The sequence below is a fragment of the Homo sapiens genome, chromosome 10, assembly GCF_000001405.40.
Source record: "Homo sapiens chromosome 10, GRCh38.p14 Primary Assembly".
NCBI lineage: Eukaryota > Metazoa > Chordata > Mammalia > Primates > Hominidae > Homo > Homo sapiens.
In genome coordinates this window covers 4,961,537-4,984,425 of record NC_000010.11, presented here as the reverse complement: position 1 = coordinate 4,984,425, position 22,889 = coordinate 4,961,537, and the positions used below count along the sequence as shown (strand labels likewise).

The following is a 22,889-nucleotide window of genomic DNA, read 5'->3' as shown; positions in this document are numbered from 1 at the left end:
AGTCTACGTTGCTCCCCGCTACCTCAATCAGAGCTGGTGCTGGTGTCCACTGCTGGGAGACTTGACGACAGGTCACATCACTGGATCCTTTGCAAACAAATCCAGCACCAGCCTGGAGTCTGGGAGCCCACTGGGCGGCTAGGCCCAGAAGAGCAGTAGCAATCACTGTAGTCCAGCTCTCTCGAAGTCCCATTTTGAGGGTAGGGAAAAGAGTACCACATAAGGGAACACCAGTGGGACAGAAAAACCTGAATGGCAGCCCTTGAATCCCAGGTCTTTCCACTGTTGGGAAATTTCTTGCAGCAGACAAACAACTGCAGAGCTGGGTGCAGTAGGAAAAGCCTGCCCCTCTGCCCCAACAGGCAGGCAGCTTCTGTGACTGAGAAAGGTCCTGGAGAAGCAGTCCTTGTTCCCCGCTGGTGCACCACTGTAGACACAGCTGGGGCTTATCCCACAGGAGCGCAGAGTGGATGCACCTATAGAGAGCCTTCCTGGAACAATTCATGATGATTGCACCCCCACAGGAGAAGCACTCTCCAGGTGAATGCCATCAGCCTCCTCTCCTTTCTTGGTCCTGGCCAAGAGCTACAATGAGCAGCGTATCAGAGAGAACGTGCAGGTGAGGAGCGGGGCTGTGGGCCTCAGGGCTCCTGCATAGTGTCCTTCAAACATGTGCTTCTTGTAAGGTTCTGAGGACACCCTTGGGCCATCTCCTTTTCCCTGGCATATTCTATGCACAAATGCTTTGTGTTCATCATAAGGGTTTTCCACTTTACCACAGGAAAGACAGCATGGGTGGAGAGAATTAGGATGGGACCCAAACAAGAGATTTGGGTTTCAGCATTGAGTTGACAATTTACCTTGTATCCCTCTGCCAGGGACATCTCCTTTTCTTCATTTTCATAAACAAGGAGTTTAATTAGGTGTTCTTTAGTCTCCAAATCATTGTGAATTTCTTTCTTTTCCATATATACTCACATAGTATATACTTCTTATATTTATTCTCTTAGAGTTTTATCTTTGTGAAGCGCTTGTTAACTCTCTGACTCTTTTATTGGGTTGTTTGTCCTGTTTTTATGCATAGGAGATCATGATTATACTAATACTTTGGGATATAAAGCAAACCCTCTTAACATACAGGCTTTAATACGAAGCCATTTATTTAACTCATATTCCATGTTTAGAAAATTGGCCTGGGCTCCGCCTGAATGTTGCCCAGTCCTTCTGTTCCTGGCTGCGCTCTCATGTGTGTGCAGGGCAGTGAGGCAGCTCTGCTTCAGGATGTCCATGGGGCATCTGTCTGGGTGCCTCCATCTCCTCCGTGCAGTTCTTCATCCTCCAGCCATCCAGCCCAGGCTTCACCTCAGCACAAGTCTCCCAGCAGTGGATACCAGCACCAGCTCTGATTGAGGTGGCAGGGGAGTGACGTAGACTCTGAGACTCCCTGGCTGTAGATAGGCTTAGTGTGCTGGCTTTCTTGAATGCTGGTTATGCGAGCGGTGAACTTGTCATGCGGACCGACTCAAGACCTCTGACTGGTCAGGGTGTGGTACGCAGTGGTAACAGCTGAGCTCATGCAGGCATTTTCTCCTTCCTGGGAACAGTTCTATTTATTCTTCCTTGAGGTGCTGTGTGGACTGTGCTGGTTGGTCTCCAGCTAGGAGGTGGCACTTGCAAAAGAGCACCAGCTGTGGTGGTAGCAGTGGGATTTGAGCTTGCCCTAAGTTGCCCAGGGAAAGTGGTTTCTCAGGCAATGGGGGAAGAGGGGCTATGAAGCTCCTAAAAGTGTATCTTTGTGTTAAGCTACCAGGATGGGTGGATGGGTACCACCAGTGGGTCCAGGGTTAGGTGGGTCTGCACTCTAACTGTCCTTGGATAAGGCAGGCTGCAGCCCCTGTGAGCGCCAAGGGGTGGTTCTCAGGCTGCTGGGGTAATGTTCCAGAGGAGAGTTTAATTGCCTCTGCTGCACAGAAGAGTTCAAAAAAGGGAGTGGGAAGTAGTGGGCCGCTTACAGCTTGCAGTGAGTTCTCAGACAATTGTAGCTGGGCTGTCCAGGGAGGGGGGTGGGGCGCAGCTCTTCTAAGAAGGTCCCCCCAGCATCCCTCCGCCAAGTACTTATTGAAGGGGCTTGTTAAGCCACAAACATCCACTAGATGGCTTTATGAGGTCAGGTCGTGAGACACCTGTGGCCTTGTAAAAGCACTCAAACCGCATTCTCAGGAGACCGTTTTCAGCATTCCTTATCACAGCACACACACCACTCCCTGTCCTGTTTTCAAGGTCAAGGAGTTTCATTCTCAGCACAAATAACATACACACACTGCCTCAGTATTTTTCCATGCCCCGACCTCAAATGCCTGTACGTAATGTTGAATAGCTTGCCGTGCGCCCCCCACAGTGAGCCTCACCCAGCACCTATGCAGTTGGCAAGGCTATTTTCATTCCTTTCATTCATGCAGTGCTCTGCTAACAGTGCCAGGTTTACATCCAGGCAGTCTGCGCACAGAACTCTGACCAGCCTCAGATCATCAGCTTACACGCTGAGATAATAACCATGGCTTTCAGGCCACATCCCTCCCGGTCTGCCCACAAGGCTGGACACCCAGCTTCTGTGCTCATATCTGCCATGCACTTCCAGCTCTCCCCTGTGGATTCTGCTCAAGGCACTTGTCCGCACAGGATCAAAGCCTTCTCTTGTGGCCTGAATTTCCAGATCCCCAGTGGGGATGTATGCTCTGGAGTGAACTCTCTCCCCTCAGAATCTGGGGATGTGATGGTTTTTTCTTATTTCATGGAGTAGGATTGTGCCTGAGACTTCTTCAGAGTGTATGTGAAATTTTTTCATATATCTGTTAAGTCTCTGCATTGGTTCTTGAAAAGAAATTCACAATGTAAATCTCTACACACTAATCTCCAAGTGGGAGAGGCATGCTCACACTGCCTCCCATCTGCCATCTGGTACTTTTCTCCATTTTCTTAGTTCTTGATGAGATCTCATAGTTGACATCTGTTACCTTTTGCTGCCCCTGTACTTGTTTTGTCATTTTGTGATATCTCTGATTTCTTTGAGTAGTTTTTAAAATTATTTCTTGTAGAGATCTTTCCCCTCCCTGGCTAACTATATTACAACATATGATGTTCATTTACTATTCTAACAATCCTAGGGTCCTTAAGATTTAATCTATATCTACTCTGTAAGTGTTCTATAAATAAAGCAAGAAAGCCTAGATATTTAAGCCACATCTCCTTAAATAATGGTTTACTGAATATTTTAAGCCCACTGTTAAGACTTACTGCTCAGCAAAAGAAAAAGTTCTTTGAAATTAGAACTGCCTATCGACAAGGTACCTAATCAACCAAGAACTCTCTTACAGAGGTTGAAAGAGATTACTGTTCTTTCCATGCCTGCTAACACAACATGCATTCTGTTTCCCATGGATCATAGAGTAATTTTGATGTTCTTGTTTTATGGTTCAGGAAATACATTTCATAAGTCTACAGCTACCATGGTGACTTGTCTGAAGAACCTGGGAAAAGAAAATTGAAAATCTTCTGAAAAAGATTTACTATTCTAGATGCCATTAAAAACATTCATGATTCGTGACAGGAGGGCAAAACATTTACTTGAACAGGAGTTTGAAAGAAGTGAATTCAACCCTCCTGGATGACTTGGAGGAATGCAAGATTTCAGTGGAGAAAGTAATTGCAGATGTGGTGGAAATAGCAAGACAACTAGAATTCAAATTGGAGCTTGCAAGTTACTGAATGCTTGCAATCTCATGATGTAATTTTAACAAAGGAGAAGTGTTTCTTATGGATGAGCAAGAAAAGTGGTTTGGTGAAATGGATTTCATTTCTTAGGAAACCGTTGTAAACACTGTTGGAAAGGCAGCGAAGGATTCAGAATATTACAGAAGCATAGTTGATAAGGCCATGACAGTGTTTGAGAGAATTCTCTCTAATGCTATCATGTCCCCACCATGACACAGTTGCCTAACAAAGCCATTCTCAGAAGATAGCCCAGGCATTATGCAACACATGACTGTCATTGGTGACAGGGAAGGAGTCACTTGTGCCATTTTCAATGTTTTCCTACCAGGTTTATAGCTTTCTATCCTTTATATCCACTGTTACCATTTTGTGAGGTGGCGTGATTTTTTTTTAATGACATTTGGATTCCCTTCTCATTTCCTCTTGCGTATATTCATAATTATTCTCTTTGTGATTGCTGTGGTGATGATGAAAAACTTTATAAAGTTATAACAATTTACTTTAAATCAATATGAATTTAACTTCAGTTTCATCTAAAACCATCCACTTCCCCAGGTTTTCTCCACTTCACATAGTTTTGGTCAGTAATTACAGCTTCCTACATTGCATACGTATTAGCTTAGAATTATACTTATTTCTATACATTTATATCTTAAATTGAAGTAAAATAATGAGTAGAATCCAAAATTTCAAAAATACATGTTTTTATATTTTACCATATGTTCACATTTACAAGAAGTCTTTATAACTCTATATGGCTGTAAGTTACTATTTCCTTTCATTCAACCTGAATTCCTCCCTTCAGCATTTCTTTGAGAGAAAAAATAGGAAAATTAGTGATTGGAGGTCCCTATAAAATTTTCTTACATCTCAAGTGTTCCTGAAATCAGGTGTTTGGCTTTATGAAATTCTGAGTAACTTTTTTTTTAACAATAAGAGTTTTATAAAAATGGATGGTGAAGAACTGGAAAAAGTCCATAGCAGATGTACTATTTACAAATGACTGACCTAATGATTATTTCACATCTTGAAAAAAGAGTTACACTTGCTAAAGAGATTTGAAATATGAAAGTTTGCTTAAGCGTTACACACTTCACTACTAACTTTTAACAAAATGTCAATCTTTTCTTGACACTTACATCAGTCAAGTTTATGAGATGTGAAATTATCATTCCATAGACTCAGAAAGTTAAGGTAGAACAGGATGGCCATGGTTTACATGAGATTTCTTTGAGACATGCTAAGTGTGAATGTCCATTAGACTTTAACATGGAGATGCAGAGTTCACATTGTGATCTTCTATTGCAGAATTTGGAGGAAAAATCTGAGCTAGAAATATTTTTAGGGGGATTTTTCAGCCTAGAAGTGATATTTAATATTTAATGCAGAGAATATCTAAGATCAGCGGAATGATAGAAGACGAAAAATAATCCAAAAAATTGGTCTAGGGCCCTCCAAAGTTTATGGCCTACTCCAATTTTATAGAATAAGTAATTTACGGAAAAAACTGTGAGCTGCAAAACTTGCTGGGATGCCTCTCAGCTCTGAGACATGGCTTGAGAAGGAATCTCTGATGGGGTTAACATGGCTACCAGAGTACGAATAGTGGAGAGTAAATGTGTTAGAACATATGCCCAGGTTAAAAACCACTGTCCTTCTCATAATGCTTTGATCATTAAGGCATGAGATTATCCCAAGTTTTCAAAAGTGTTTTCTAAAATGAAAATCATGTCTTCATGATTAGCTGATTAACTTAGGTCCCCTGAAAATTATGTATAAGAATTAAATGCCTTTGTAAGAGTTGTTCTTAAAATTTACCAAAGTTTGAAACCAGTGTGCTGTTTTACATAGCCTGTTTCCAAAAGACCTTTGAAGTCTTGGAACATTTGATTTATTAGATGTATTATTTCCCATTTTAATCTTGAGTGCCATGCATAATGGCTTTGGGATATTTTTGTTTTATATTTGTAACTATGCCTGTTTAATGTATAAAATATTTAAAAGACTGAATATCACAAATTAATAGTACATTTTTAGAATCTAAGAATATTTTCTAAATATGAGCTATTCAGGGGAATGTGATTAGTCAATGATGTCTTTGATGCCCTGCCCCACCACAAACCAATAGGGTCAACGTTGTGAATGGGCACACATCAAAGATTCAGGCCTGACTCTCAGCTGTGGGGTTTGTTAAAACAATGTGGAAAGTTTTCTTTTATGAGCAAGATATAATGTTCAAAAAAAAGGGTGTTGATATGTTTTTCCAAGCAGAGATGTACTCGACTCTGTCCTATTTAGCCTTCCCATACCTGACTTCTAATCACTTTTCCTGGTGCCCTCCCATCTCCCTAACCCCCCCTCACAGGGATGCCTCCTCCCAAGGCTCCAGAAACTCTGACCCTCGCACTGCTGGAGGGAGCCCATGAATTGCTAGTCAATATCGCTCATCCTCTAGACTCCATCCTGCGTGTGCTTCTTCCTACAAGAGCTAGAGAGGCACTGACTGATAAATACCTGTCACCTGCCCCTTTCCCAGAGGGTGAAACTCCACCCACTCCCACTGCAGAAATGAATCTTAAATGGTTGTTAACATCTTCCAACCCCGGCCCTAAACGTATAGGCAAATCACAATTTAGGGGCACTAGTGTGTCAGAAGGAAAGAAAACATAGAAGTTATGGAGACCAAAGTAGGTGAAGAATCTTTAGGAGAGAGCATTTAATTTTTTCAAAATGAAAAAACAAAATTATTGTCTTTCCTTTCTGGCCAATGGGCTTTGCTGTAGCTTGCTGAAATCACCAAGCAGGAGAGATTTAACCAGAGGCGATGTGTCCAGTCACCAGCATAGAGCCATCCTCTGTGTCACCATCCACACGCAGGGCCTTCTGGCAGACCTCATGCAATGCCCTCCATGTTAATATTCATCAGAAAATGGATAATTAGGGGGGCCAGCAAAACTGGAAAGAGAAAAAAAAATGCACACTCTGAATGGCAATGACTCCGTTACTAGCGGGTAGTGCAGTGATTTCTAGGAAGCTGCCGCTAGTGTAGATGTTAAGAAGTTCATTTTCTGACTGCTCTAGAATCTGTGTTTCTTTGTTTAATGAATGTGACTTTATCATATCTGTATTTTCAAAATAAAGAATAATTTAATTCTATTCCCCTGCCTGGAACTTAACACATAAAACACACAAAGTGAAATGTTCAAACATATTTCTCTACATCTGTCAACAGAGCAAAGAGATATACTGACCTTTTCTATTTCAAATTCTCAGTAAAAATGGAACTATACTGCCTTACATTGAAGAGGAATAAGCAAGACATATGCTCATCACTAATAAACAATTTTGAGTGTGATGATTATACTGGTAGCAATTATACTTAATTACTTTACATATTACTACCTGCCTATCATATGCAACATAGTTGGTTAGATTCAGAAATGTAAATTGTTGTTTTTGATATAGGGTCCAATATCCAAAGAGCTACAATGTATAAACCATTTTATAGGCAGAAATAACACAAAATGTAAAGACACAGATAAATGACTGCTCACATGTACAATTACAACTTATTAATTAGGGAATTGAGCCTATCCTTTTTGATTACACCAAGAGCAAACACTTGGAAGCTCGCAAGTGGTTTACTCCAGACCATATTTGAGTTCTACAAAATAACACTAGTGATTGATTTCATGATCCCCAAAAACATTAATTGGTTTTAAAACTTTCTAATGCTTGCCACTTTTCCTTTTCTTTTTATCATCTCCGTTTTCATTTTGTATTTTCCTCTAAATGAATAAAATACTACTAATAATATCCACCAAATTTTGGGTACTTATGATGTACCATTGTGCTTGTTTTTTTCACACATTATCTCATCATCTCTATTACTTGTTGAAATCCCTACTGCCAGCAGTTACATAACTTCTTTTTTCCCTCATTATATGAATGACCTTCTATGAATCCTAGAACCTTAGAACACAGAGGAATAGTAAACTTCTGTTATTGGTTATAAATTATCTCCAACAATGGTGCTTTTGCATCTACACTCTGCATTTGATTTTAACATTTCTTCATTCTCTGCACTGAGATCTCCATATTGCAGAACACCAAGGCCAAGTGCTCCTATTCGCTTCACTAAGACAGACTTTCTGGAGGCAAATGCAGTGTTTGGCTCATGGGCAAACATGCAAAGACAGGCACGAAAAAGGTTTGAAATGATTAAAAATGCTAAATCGACAGGATCCAGCAAGCAATTCCATGTGAAAGAGGTGGGAATTGGAACCTGGCCCACAAGATTGACGGAACTGCCTTTGATCTGGTAAGACATTGAGCAGGTTGGGAAGAACAAGATAGAAGCACAGATTTGGAAACATCTAATGCGACCACATGGGCAATATCCACAGTGTGTACACTAGACAGTAGCACAAACAGCAGGCCTACATGGAAGGTGCAGATTCAGCAATGATCTTGGCTGCTCTGGAAAGTTCCTTGGAGTCACGAGAGCAGAGGCACAGGTTGACCCATGCTGACCCCAGGCCACTCTCCCTGCCAGAGAACAGAGCTCTGGAGTGAATCCAGGAGGAGACTTCCAGAAAGCTCCTGTCTCACCTCTGTCTCACGTTGGCCTCTGTGCCCCTGGTGTGGAGGTCACTCTCAACACCCATCCTACGTTCCTCCTCTGAAAATAAATTAGGACAACCATCTCCAAAATTACTTACATATCAAGGGTCAAATATCGCACATTTCTGTTTAGGCCATCTATGGCTTTCATCTCCTCTGAAGTCAACTGGAATTCAAACACCTATCAAAGTAATAGAAAACTTTAATTATTTTTAGATTACATCATTGCCAATTGGGAACAACCAAGTTCATCAGACAGTAGGGTGCAGAGACAATACTTAAAAGATTGATACGTTTCCAAAATTTATGAAAGACCTCTCTAAACACCCAAGTGGTCAATGAAAACCAGTCAAAAATAAGCAGAAATCCATTCCCAGATAAAATATTTTGAAACTGCACAACACTGCAGATGAAGAGAATATCTCAGAGGAAGCTGAAGAAGAAACAGAGCTTACTTTGTGCCCACATGATAGGGTCATGTACCTAGAAGACCCACAAGAATCTAGAGGCAAATTTTGTAATGTCTAGCATAATTTAGTAGGTTTGATGAATAACATTGAATATCTATCTCTCCAATGAACAGGTATAATAGGAAAAATTAGTTTTCAACATCACTCAAGCCAATAATTGTCTAAATACTAACGATTTCACATTCAAAAGGTGTGGGTACTCTCACTATGTAAATTTGGGAGACTCTAAATATCAAAAAGATGTCACTCTTTCTAATACATTCAATCAAATAAGTGTATAAATCCATAGGGAAACTGAAGGAGTAATACAGAAAATGAGAGAAAGAGAGTAAAAAATGACAGCAATGTAACACTTGATGAATGTAGGTAAGAAGATTTGTTGCATTATTCTTTTAATATTTCTATATATTAGAAAATCCATAAAACAAAAATGAAAAGTTATCAAAAACTATTAAAATCATCAGTAACAGAGAAAGTTATGAAATTAATTATATATTTATTAAAAGGCTATTAATAAGTGGGAAATTCATATTATGATCATGCATTGGAAATCTCAATATTGTCAAACATTTAGTTCTCTCCACATTGATCTGGAGGCTTATTACAATGTCAACAAGAGACTAAACATTTATTTGCTTGTGGAAGTTAATAAGATGATTCAAAGTTTTAAATAACACATTAGTCAAGAATAGCTAAGATATTATTAAATAAATGAAGAAGTTAGAAAAATATTTGTACCATACTGGAAGTGAAACTTACTTTTTAACATCATAGTACAGAAAAGTAAATAAGTTAACTGAAGATGGAAGAGAGGCCAGATAATTGCTCATGGACATTTCATATATGTTACAGGTAAAAAAATCAAGTTATGTGAGCAAATATGAACTTTTCAATAAATGTTGGTGGGAAATTTTGCTAAAAATTCAAAAATTAGATATGCATATTTGGATCCTTATCTCATACAGTATTTAAAAAGTCAATCCCATTAGAATTAACCAAATTTATAAGGAAAGAATATTAACAATTTTGTAAGATAACACAGTAATATATTGTGATATTCCCAATATAGGATAAGACACAACACTCACCAACCACAAGAAAGAGGCATGAAAAATTAGTCTACATGAAGGATAGAAACTTTTGTTTGTGAAAACATAACCACAGAGAATATGACAACACAGGTAAAATTTGGGAGATGTTATTTCAAGAATACATTTAAGTCTCTAAAGAATTAATATCCAGAATAAATACATATATATGTATGGTTTCTAGTTAATCTAACATATATATTATATAACACATATGTCATATATCTATATATACTAGATGAATTAGAGAACATACACATATGTATAAATACTGATAATTTCCACAGTTATTTCATAATATTTCCTTTTAGTTTTGTGGGTTTTCTAATGTCTAAAAATATTTTTAAAATAATATAGTAAATGCCATTACCTAGATTCATCAATTGTTTCATTGTCATTTTTTACTTTCTTTCTCATTCTCTGTATCATTATTTCAGAGTATCCTATGGATTTCTACACTGATTTTACTTAATGTTTTAGCAAATAGTGACACATATACATATACATGATATATGTCATATATGTGACATAGGTTTTATAATATATATCATATATGATATTTCATATATCTGTATATAACTAATTAGAAAACATATATATGCATGTATTCTGGATATTAATTCTTTAGAGACTTGGATGTATTCTTAAGAATATATGAAATAGTATATCAATTTATATATATTCATATTCATACATATAACTATTAATATGTTATTTCACACATATCGTATAAATGATAGATTAATTAGGAACATGCCCTCTAACAATCACATGTCCCTGTATCCACTTGCTTGGTTATATGAATTTCCAGCTCCTTCCAACAAGAGGTGGTGTCTTTTTCCCCACCCCTTGAGTCTGACCTGTCCTGTAACTTGCATTAGGTGATAGAATTTCCCAGAAGCAATGGTTGGCAGCTCTGAGCCTAGACCTGAAAAGGCTTTGCACATGTCCACTCACTGCCTTGGGGTCATGCCCTGTGCTGAGGTGAACCCTGGGCTGGATGGCTGGAGGATAAAGAACTGCATGGGAGAGGGGGGCGCTCACACAGATGCCCCAGGGACATCCTGAAGCAGAGCTGCCTCACTGCCCTGAACACACATGAGAGCCCAGCCAGGAACAGAAGGAATGGACTGAGTTTAGGCTGAGCCCAGGCTAATTTTCTAACCATGGAACCTTGAGCTCAATAAATGCTTTTGCATTAAGCCTCTATATTAAGTGGGTTTGTCTTATATCCTAAGGTATTGGTATAAATATGGTCTCCTACACATAAAAATAAAGACACACAACCACCTCGCCAAAAAAAAAAAGGCAGAGTTAAACAAGCACTTCGCAAAGATAAAATTCTAAGAGAATAAATATAAGGAATTTATACTACATAAACATACAAGAAGAAAAATCCGCCATGAGTTGGAGACTAAAGAACATCTAATCAATGCTTCATTATAAAAAATAAAGAAAAGGACATGGCCCCAGCAGAGGGATATGGATATCACTGACTTAACGCTAACCCAAATCTGTAGTTTTGATCCCATCCTATTTCTCTCCACCTCTGTTGCCTCTCCTGTGCTAGAGTAGAAGAAACCCTTATGACGTACACAAAGAGTTCATGCATAGGAAATACAGGGAAATGGAGCTGGCCCAAGGCTGTCCTGAGAGCCTTACAAGAAGCACACGTGTGAAGGACACTGTGCAGGAGACCTGAGGCCCACAGCCCCGCTCCTCACCTGCACGTTCTGTCTGATGCGCTGCTCATTGTAGCTCTTGGCCAGGACCACAACCCCACGCTGTAGCTGGTAGCGCAGGGCAATCAGGGCTGGGGTTCGCTTGTGCTTTTTTGCCAAGGCACAAAGGACTGGGTCCTCCAAGAGCACCGGGGAGTTCGGGTCCACCCTGGAAGGAAAGGCAGAAAGGCTGAGGCCCTGAGGCTGGGGATACAGTTTGTTAGGCGGCTCCCTAAACAGACTAAGGCGTCCACTCTGCACCGGAGCTTCTCAAGCGAGGCCCCCGAACAGCAGCCTCAACATCACCTGGGATCTCGTCAGAAATGCAAATTCTTCCCTCACCCCAAGTCAGCTGTGAGTGAACTCCAGGAAACAGCATGATCTGATTAAATTTTTTTTATCAAACCGGTGTTTTAGGTAAACTTCCTGTATCTCTTATTACCATGGTTCTTCTCGGTGGGATCCCAGAGCACTATAGGCAACCAGAACAATGTCTTTTGACTTGCAGAAATCCAGCAGTTTTCTCTGGTTGAAGTAAGGATGACATTCCACCTGCAGACGAGCAAGATGGAAAAGCATCAGATAATCCAAAAGTTACACTAATATTAAAATCACCAAAGTAAAAGAAGCTGAATAATGTAGAGCATTAAATTTGAACTGAGAATATTATTGTCAAAAATGATCTTTTTCATAAAAATAAATTTTATGCCCCTCTCTCCTAAGAAAATAGAAATGCTATTTCTGAGCACAAGCAACTCCATGAACCCTATCCTGGTTTCTCAATAACTCCGACCACTAGAACGAGACACGGCCAATTTCAGAGCTGGGATGAGGTAAGATTCTTTGAGCCTTGGGCATCAAATCGTGCCAGAAATCAAGAATTTGGTCAAAGACTCATGAGGGCAGGTCTGAAAGACAAAAGAACTAGTTTCCTAATTAATACCAAAAATGCATACATGTATATGTATGTTTTCTAATTGATCTGACATATAATATATATATCATATATGCCATCTATGATATATATCTATATAGATGAACTAGAAAATATACATACACACATAAATACTGATAATTTTCACAGTCTTTCATTACTTTTCCTTTTTGTATGATGGATTTGTATGTTGATATCTCAAATGTCACCAGTGGGTTCCCTATGAAACAAGTGCTTTTGTCTTTTACACTTGCCCTCATGAGTCTTTGATCACATTCTTCTTTCATATATATTTTATATATATATATATATAATATATATATGCTGAGTAGATGTGAGCATTAAAAAATGAGTAAAATAAATTAAAAATCATAACACAAGAATCCGTGAGTCTGTAGTAATTAGTGCGACAATGAGAAAAAGAACAACAATCTTTGTCTACTCTGATGGTGGTCATTACAGTAATTACGTTCACAGTACATTGCTAATTGAAGGAAGAAGTTCACCTTTACCCTCACTTAGAGGAATAGTAGTTTATTATTTTTACTTGGTGAGAAATCATTTTTAATTAAATGTCAGGTAAGAATAGTTAAACAAGTGGTTAAAATTGTAAATGATTATGTAAAAACCCCAAGGAAATAACAAATAAGAAATAACAAAGAAGAAAACAGAAATGCAGTAGAAAAAAGTTCAAATCACTGATGTATACTCAATCATATGTGAAAATTTGTCATGGGAATATGACTTCTTCTGTTGAGAATTATCCCCCAGCAGATTACTAGTAATTGTTAAAGAGAAAACATGAGTTAAAAACAACAGATCTGACCACTGTTAGCTTAACCAAGTTTTTTTTTTTTTATTATACTTTAAGTTCGAGGGTACATGTGCACATTGTGCAGGTTAGTTACATATGTATACATGTGCCATGTTGGTACGCTGCACCTACTAACTCGTCATCTAGCATTAGGTATATCTCCCAGTGCTATCCCTCCCCCCTCCCCCCACCCCACAACAGTCCCCAGAGTGTGATATTCCCCTTCCTGTATCCATGTGATCTCATTGTTCAATTCCCACCTATGAGTGAGAATATGCGGTGTTTGGTTTTTTGTTCTTGCGATAGTTTACTGACAATGATGATTTCCAGTTTCATCCATGTCCCTACAAAGGATATGAACTCATCATTTTTTATGGCTGCATAGTATTCCATGGTGTATATGTGCCACATTTTCTTAATCCAGTCTATCATTGTTGGAGCTTAACCAAGTTTTTAAAACTACCTTCACCACTAGTGGGGCATTCTGTGATTGTATGCAGTCTAGTGTGGTGCAATTTGAAAAACACAGCATGATAAAAATATTTTCTTGCCCCAAAGGTTTAAGTCAATGTAATAAAACACTCTCATCTAACTTCTAATTTACAGAAACCTTCAACAACTGGGAAAAACAAGTTAACTGATATCAAAATACAACAATATAAAAACAATTGAATTCTGGTTAAAAAAAGAAGAGCTACAAAAGATATTTTGATTAAGCAAGGAAAAATTCAAATATGGACTGGATACCAAATGACATGAGGGCACTATAGATGATGTTCTTAGATACAGTAATGACACTGGAACTGGGAGAATATCTTCATTCCTGTGACATGCTTTGAGAGGTCTCTAGGGGTCAATTGTCATCTTTACAATTTACCTTGAAGAGGTTCTAGAAACATTATATGTATTTATGCAGATATACTCCATATAACATTGCAAAATGTTAGTAATTTTGAATATAAATGGTAACATGGGTCTCCAGTATTATTTTTATCAAATTTTTGGAAAGTGTGAAAATGGCCATATTAAAAAATTGGGGAACTACTAGTATTAAAACCACATTAATTTCTCAATGCTTTTATTAAATTATCACAGCACCGTATCATTATACCAAATTCACTAATTTTATACATATGTATTTCCACTGTAGATCTTCACTGATTGACTCTAAGTTTTAAAACATAAAATAAAACAAAAAAATGTAATTTACTGGGAAAAGTGTAGTAACTTTAATGCTGAAATGTGTGTAACATTTGGGGACAGTCAATTTGATCAAGGAGGCCTGGAATCACCAGTCAGGACTCAAGGAAAAGATGGAATTATCTCTAGGCTACAAAAGGAACACATAGAGAATAGATGTGTTTAAGCAGCTGATTGCATGACAGACTCCAAAGAAGAGCAGCCAACTAGGAGCGGGGGCAGTCATAGGTCAGCTCCATGTTCTGCTGAACCTTCCTCAGTGTGGATTTCATCCACTGTGAACAGATATCTCCCATAAACAGGTTATTTTCTCTTTCTACCATGGATGACCTTCATTGTCTGCAGATAATTTTTAGTGTATCTATGCCCTTGGTCAAGAAGTGTGAAAGCAGAGACACCAAGAGGCACTGAGACATCCGAAGCCCATGTGAATCCCTAGTATTTCTCTTCTCTTGCTCTCACTCTCTCCTTATGTACTGTTCATTCCATCTCTTCACGGCTTCATATCTATGCACAGTTCCCTCCAAATCACCTTCACCCATCCATTCTCTGGTCATCTTTCATAGCTTAGGGGTAAGTCCACCTTTCCCTGAGTCTAATTGACAATCCTTGGCCTCCTTGATTGAATTGACCTCCCATAAATATAACACACAATTCAGCATCAAAGTTACAACACCTTTTCTAAGACTTTTCTAAGCCGGGTACAAGTAAGATCCCTCTATGCCCTTCGAGACAGAGTCTTTGCTCTCTAGAATCTTCTCTTTTACAAAGATAAGTGGGACTAAATGAATGGATACTTGGCAATAGGACAGAAAGAGGGGCATGAAGAACAGAAAGGAGAGGAGGCTGAGGGTGCTCACCTGGTTGCAGACAGGCTTGTACTTGAGCCCTGGCTTGTTGAGGATCATCTCCAGCTGCCTGCGGTTGAAGTTGGACACCCCGATGGACTTGGCCAATCCTGCATCTTTACACTTCTCCACGGCCTGGGAAAAAGGAATTGTGAGGTGTGGAAGATCAAGATAAATGTGACACAGAACTGTGAAAGTAACAACTGTCTAGATATGACAATAAAACTAGCTAGCCGTGGTTCTTAAAAGGGAAAAAATAAAACAGAAAATTGGGGAAGAAGATAGTGATTGCAAGAGTAAGTATTTCTGTTTCCTCCTTGGGAAACTGGAGAGATTAGTGAAAAGGCAAGGAAATAAATCCCAGTCCTCCTTACCCCCAATTCTTCTCCTCCACTTCTCTCTTTTGTATGCCTGTCATTTCTTTTTCCTCACTGCTCACAAAAACTACCTTTGTAAAGTTCCTAAGTTTTTGATCCAATGGTGCATTTTCCATACTTGTACTAAGAAGATAGGAAACAGATGTATCCTACCTCATCTTTCTTATCCGTTCTCTCACCTCCAAACACTCACCTCCCATGTGGCACAGAGATCCACTGTGTCAAATAGTATTTTTCCATTTTCATCTTTTGGGATCACTTCCTCACCTGGCTGAAGTAGAAGCAGTCAGTTTAGTGATGTCACAAGTCAATTTCTCCACACATAGCCATGCTCTGAGGTACATTTAAGGACACTAATCCTCCATGAGGTAGGTGATGCAGTGCTCCAGAGAGTGGTATGTACAGAGTGTACTACATATGAAGGTATAAGGAATGTCTTCAGGTGACAGGCTCCCTCTAATCTCTTACAACTATTACATGTATAAATAAATACCTCTTTCTGGTTCCTAATGGAGTGTCATCATTGACTTTCATTGACTTTCTTCTGCTCCTATAATTTTCTCTGTGGCAATACCTCTCTTCAACTGCAAAAGATCTTGATATCCAGATATAATGGATTGTACTTTTTACCCAGGTGCCACTATCAGAGTTCTTTATCTCCCTGAACATATGATGTTCCATGCACAGGACCATGAACCAATCATGGTCAATGGAGGTGTTTTCAAGGCTAGTTTGGAAATTAGGAGATGCACAGGAGCTCACGGTAATGAACATGGGCCTGACAGTGCTCCAAAGCCATAAATGCCACCAACGAAAAAGGTTGGAACAAATACTTAAAAAGCCTTTTGTAATAAAGCAGAGATAAGGGTGGAGAAAGGATATATTTTTAGAGTTTTTATCAAATTCTTAATGTAGCCCTGGCTTTGATTTCCCATTATCATATCTAATATACCCTTTTGCATTAACTAGCCTGACTAGTTTTCAGTACCTTAAGACAAAAGTTATGAATGACCCAAGAATTCATGGCTAAGCAAAAATAAAACCTCCAGTGTGAAAAGAGAGGAAGCAGAAGCAACAAGGTTTCCCATGAAGGTCTGTAGTTTAAGACACTCCCGGACTGAGTTCTCGCCCCTTAAAAAGAGGCAAGAAGATGGAAACTCATTGTGCACCCTATGTGCAGCAGGTTTTCTGGACACCACAGCTTCATGAAACTCTGTGTCTGTGAACATCCCAAGAGGTGAAATCAGGAATCATAACTAAGACCTTGTGCCTTCAAGGAGATGACTATCATTTCCTCAAGTTTTTGAGGCAGAGGCTTTGAGAGTTCTGCACTTTCTTTTCTTATAGACATGCAATCACGGAAGTATGGATTCAAAATGTATCCCATAGAAAGGAATTAGGAGTTAGATTTAGGATTCTTCTTCTATGTTATAATCCCTATGTCCTCCTAAGAAAATGCTTAGTTCAAATATCCATAAAAACAATATTTATGCTGAGAACAAAAGTGAAATTAATTTGATCACACAAGCTGCCTACCTTTACAGACACTGGAAAATGAATAAGGTAGAGGTCAACATAATCCAATTGAAGATTTTTCAGTGACCTTTCCAAGGCTGGTCGGACCAACTCTGGTCGATGGGAATTGCACCAAAGCTGCAGAGGTTAGAGAAAGGAAGTTGTGTAATGAAAACTTGAGCCAATTTTACTAGTTTGCTCCACCTAATATTTAGACATTTTCTACTACTTCAAAACTAATGACCACAGGCAAAATTATTCTCTCTCTTCTTGTGATGCCTTTTGTTCTGCCATATCATGATGAACTTTATAATATGTTGGATATATAGTTAGTACATATATTGAATGAAAGAGTGAAATTACTCAAAAGGTAAAAGTTGTTATCAAATCATAAGCATACCCATTATCTGAATTATCTTTGGTAAGTTTTACAACTCATGTTAGTAGTGTAATTATTTCATCTATTCAGCCCAATGGGCAAGATTAAGTATCTTTGTGGTTTAGAAACTGAGGAAGCAAACAGAGTTTTTAATATGTCAACTTGGGCTGGACACAATTTGAGATAATGTAGGCGTTATTCTTTAATACTCACAGAGCTTGCTTATATTGCTTTCTCTCTCTATGATCAACATAATAATGGAAACTGAGAATCATAACAAGTGTAAGAAACTCACCCAGGAGGTAAGAAATAATATAATATGATTAGGATTTTTTCTGATTCTATAGTCTATGTTAAACCATATTGATCTGTGCTGAGCTCAAAAAGTAAAGGCACTTTGAAGGCATGAATTGGAACACTGCAAAGATGAGAAAGCCATCTTCACTTCCTGCCTTTGATATTAGTTTTAATACATGAGTAAGTGTGAATAAATCGTAATAAATAAGCACAATTCACCCTATACTATGGATCCAGTCATAGAACTGCCACCTCCACACAATCACAATAAATACATGTGCACACAAGCTCATCATAGGCACAGTACCTTTGAAGTGTAGAATATGTCTTCTCTCTTCACACTGCCATCTGCAATCTTGCTTCGGATGGCCAGTCCAACCTGCTCCTCATTATTGTATAAATGAGCAGAATCAATATGGCGGAAGCCAGCTTCAATTGCCAATTTGGTGGCCTCTAAAGCTTTACTTTTAGGAACCTGGGGGAGTAACCATAGGTAGTATTTTCTGACTAATGTGCCTGAGAGTTAGTTCAGGCACAAGTAGCGACGTTCACAAAAATCAGCTTTTCCTCCTTTCTTGGATGAGTTCTGTATGTAGAATCATGAGCCCATCCCAGTCTCCCTGGGTCTTTCCCAGTTAGTAATAAAGGTTGGGCACAGCAGGAACTTCTGCAGTCCCAGAAAAATCACTGCTTGACCACTAGTTTGGAAGTGTCCCCAAAACAATTTCAGGTTCAGTCATTTTTTGGAAAAATTAACAGGATGCAACCTATAGTTATAGATATAATCTTAATTATTTTTAGTATGGTAAAATTAACACAAGGAATGGCCAGGCGTGGCGGCTCACACCTGTAATCCCAGCACTTTGGGAGGCCGAGCTGGGCGGATCATGAGATCAGGAGATCAAGGCCATCCTGGTTAACAACTCCATCTCTACTAAAAATAGAAAAAATTAGCCGGGCATGGTGGCAGGCGCCTGTAGTCCCAGCTACTGGGGAGGCTGGGGCAGGAGAATGACGTGAACCCAGGAGGCGGAGCTTGCAGTGAGCTGAGGTCGCACCACTGCACTCCAGCCTGGACGACAAAGCGAGACTCCATCTCAGAAAAACAAAACAAAAACCAAACAAACAAAAAAAGAAATTAACACGAGGAAATAGCCACATGGAAGGAAATATGAAGGAATACAGTGTAAGCTCCTGTGATTCCTCTCCCACCATATTGCACAGAATGCACTGACTTTACCCGGAATCATATTTTGTCAATGTATGTGAACTGTTGTCTACAAGAGATGCTCTCTACATACTCCATTACTAAGATTTTGTCTGGGACTGGTTACATTGACTCACTCTGCTTCGCAGGCACAAAACTTCCAAAAGTCTCCAAAAGGAAAGCAGGTGCACAGAAACTCCGCAGTTTGCACAAGCAGTTACTTACAGCCACCATTCTTATCAGTTAGGAAATAGTGAGAAATCCACCTTATCAGATACCAGCAGGTTTATATGGGAAACAGGCCTGTCTATGGATAGCAGTCTATTATGTCAAGTCTTTTCTACACAGCCATTAGCCATTCTGTCGGCATGACAGAACTAAATAGTAGGTGTAAAAATGTATACTCTAAGGATATTGATTTGTATAAGAAATAGACTGCAAGGAGTAAGTGATTAGCAAAATGGGGTTCAGTTCCATAAGTTCAAGGCAACTCTTTTAGGAAACATATGATTGCAGTGAAATTTACAATTATTGACTTACGTAACAAATTTGGATACAGATTTGAAAGTATATCTTTTAAATGACAAAAACAGAAACAAAGCAAACTGTTTTCCTATCTGGAAAGTATTTCAGAGGCTTTCTTTTTCCCATAGAATTACAAGGAACTAGATACTGGGTCTCACAGCCCTCTCCTCATACCATCCTTGATCATTTCTTTGCTGTATGAGTACTCAAAGGCTTACCAAAGCTGGAGCTTTAGTGGTATCCTCATCTTTACTTCCTCTCCATGTCAATTTATATTACAAAGTAAACCACTCCTGTCAATGGTCTTCAAAATGTCCCTTTGTAAATCCTTATATTGTATAGATCAGAAATGTGAAACCCAAATTTTATGTAACTAGTCCCTATTCACACACATTGTATTCCCAAGACAGTCTTGAGATACAAGTTTTCTTCCAGTGTAGAAATAGCTAAGTCTAGAAAAGAAAATCTATTCCATTAATTTTCCTGTCAGAGAAACAAGAAATTTTTCTGTTACAATATTTTGATACAAATTTGACCCATATTAACAAAGAAAAAGAATTTAAATTTTCCTTGTTAGGTTCTAGTATTTTTTTTTTCTTAAAATGAGGATATTTTATCGTTTCAGGTAATTTTCCCAGAGGTGAGAATAGTACATGAGAAATTCTCTTTAGGCCAGGTCTAGTATTACAGTGTGGTGCTCAAGGCCGCCCATCAGAACAGTGATACTCTCCCAACAGATTTCATCCACCCCGTCTCCACTAACTTTTGCCATAAAAATTCCTCTGAATTGTATCTTCTTGGAAGAAGTAAATATCTGTTCGACTATACAAAGAAACAGAGAAACCACTCCCATTGCAATCAATCTTCAAGAGAGGGAGCAGGCAAGCCGTGTTCTTTCTGCTGAGTTGTATAGACTCTGACAAGCTGTGAAATAAACATAAACAGAAGACAAAACAGTGCCACAAATAAGCAGTAGATGACCCTGTGACAAGATGGCATTGCAGAACAAAGACTGACGTTTAAAGGGGAGTCATGCAGAGTAACATAGGAACACAAGCCTGACAACCTGGTCAGCTTCCACTTACTCTAGCTCCTTTGAACTCTCAACACTAAAAATATTATTGTTACCTCTGCAGGCGCATAGGTGCCAAATCCCAGGACAGGCATGAAGTGACCATCATTCAGCTTCACACACTGATATTTCGAATCCATTTCTGTCACTAGCCTGGCTGGCAAATGTTTCTTTCTTCCTCCCTCACAGGCTATAAGAGCAATGAGCTGGCAACGCCCCTGAGCACACTGTCTGCTGGTTAACCAATGGCATGTGAGAGGAGGGACAGAGGCAGTCTTACACAAGCTGTGATAAAAATTGCATCCAGTTCAACCGTTTCTTACCTAAGAAAATTCATAAGTAAATTATTATGTGGTCATGATACACTCATTAATTTCCTCTGAAGTATTTTTGCTATTCCAGATCTCTATATATGAGACATAAATTACTCAAAGAGATTTGTAGAACAAATTGTGACTTTACATAAGAATACAGAAACCTCTAGCGGCACAGCTCTTTTTTGTTTGTGTCATGATGATGAGTTCCTTCTGCATCTTGCAGCATTTGAAATGACTAATTTTCATTTTTCTCTCTCTCACACACACAATTTAAAGGAATGACTAATGAGCATTTCTTTAAAATATTGCCCTCAATTAAAAATTAAAGTTAAAATTTTTTAATGCATTACTTTTTTCATCAGCAAATTTATTGTTCCTTTCTTATTAGCCTTGTAAGAGAAACATCCCTTCCTGATCAAGGTGCAGTCCTGATAAAGTTGTAATCCTGATGTGGGTGTAAATAAAAAAGAAAATATGATGTGGTTTTATTGGAAGATTTCTTATTAACAGCTTTTGGACTTTGGATATAATTTGTAACATGCAAACAGTGCCTTATTTGTCTTTTCCAGCCATTTTTATGAATTGCTACCAAAAAGTAACAAGCCAAAATATGATAACTATTAGATATACTTTATAATATTGCTAAACATTATTCATAAAGAAAAACTGGTAACTAATGACATATAAACTGGTGAATAATCCTCGCATGGGATAATTTTTACTTTATTCTCCCTTTGGAGGTCAGGTTAAAACATGATTGTAATTTGCATGATCCATGATTCACATCTTGGAGTAGTCACAACTTGCAGTGCCCTGATTGCTTCTATTTGCTTTTTCATAAAACAAACAGAAATTGAAAAATAGGTAAATTGTTATCATTGACATAAATGTAATATTATAAAGATATTGAAATTTTTCACAGAGTAATTTCAACAAGATGGTGGATTCTAAGATTCCCATATAACTCATGGAAACATCAGAAAATACCTAAAATTGACTGAAATAAACTTATTTATTTCTGGAGTGGCTCAGTAGAGATTCAGGGTGACTATACACATACAGATGTTATAGGCAAAAGGCCAGGGGAAGAGACATGCAATAGTCCATCTAAGCCATTGAGGAGAAACTGGGATGCGAAATTTCATAATAGTAAGCAATTCAAAAGCCATTGGTTATTTGGGGATACATAAAAGGGCAAACACAGTCCACGTAGGTGCATGTTCAGAAACAAACTAAGAAGGACTTGAGGTTTTATGTAGGGCTGATGCCTTGACTGAGAACCTGCCACACATATAAGTTAATGACTGTCATGACATAGAACAAATCTATATACAGTAAAAAAGATGTTTATTTTTTCAAATGCCCAATTAGATAAAATAACAAGGCATACAGGCCTGGAGCAGTGGTAATCCCAGCACTTTGGGAGGCCGAGGCGGCCAGATCACGAGGGCAGGAGATGGAGACCATCCTGGTCAACATGGTGAAATCCTGTCTCTACTAAAATAAGAACAACAACAACAAGAACAACAACAACAACAACAACAACAAATAGTCGGACGTGGTGGCGGACGCCTGTAGTCCCAGCTGCTCGGGAGGCTAAAGCAGGGGAATCGCTTGAACCCAGGAGGCAGAGGTTGCAGTGAGCCGAGATGGCACCACTGTACTCCAGCCTGGCGACAGAGCAGGACTCTGGCTCAAAAAAATAAAATAAAATGACAAGGCATACAAGGA

General features: G+C 38.8%; 1 protein-coding gene and 1 long non-coding RNA gene across 2 annotated transcripts; one reads left to right on the top strand and one right to left on the bottom strand.

Annotated features, from left to right (window-relative positions):
• Positions 1-1,142: 1,142 nt before the first annotated feature.
• On the bottom strand, positions 1,143-21,011 carry AKR1C1 (aldo-keto reductase family 1 member C1). The gene is made up of 9 exons (NM_001353.6): positions 20,898-21,011; positions 18,345-18,512; positions 17,383-17,499; positions 16,040-16,117; positions 15,482-15,604; positions 12,116-12,225; positions 11,677-11,842; positions 8,493-8,575; positions 1,143-6,726 (listed from the first exon to the last, which is right to left on the bottom strand). The coding sequence occupies exons 1-9, from the start codon at positions 20,979-20,981 to the stop codon at positions 6,684-6,686; spliced, it is 972 nt and encodes a 323-aa protein (NP_001344.2). The 5' UTR covers positions 20,982-21,011; the 3' UTR covers positions 1,143-6,683.
• On the top strand, positions 11,765-14,613 carry LOC124902365 (uncharacterized). Its single transcript, XR_007062038.1, has 3 exons — positions 11,765-12,027; positions 12,397-12,506; positions 14,028-14,613. It is a non-coding gene; the product is annotated as an uncharacterized LOC124902365 (long non-coding RNA).
• Positions 21,012-22,889: the final 1,878 nt, after the last annotated feature.

Excerpts from the sequence above, each read along its gene's own strand:
- AKR1C1 (NM_001353.6), bottom strand. The coding sequence starts at position 20,981 with ATGGATTCGAAATATCAGTGTGTGAAGCTGAATGATGGTCACTTCATG. Across the intron at positions 12,226-15,481 it reads ACAAGCCTGTCTGCAACCAG|GTGGAATGTCATCCTTACTT; the intron begins GTGAGCACCCTC and ends GCTCGTCTGCAG. Across the intron at positions 6,727-8,492 it reads CGATATTTGACCCTTGATAT|TTTTGCTGGCCCCCCTAATT; the intron begins GTAAGTAATTTT and ends TTCTCTTTCCAG.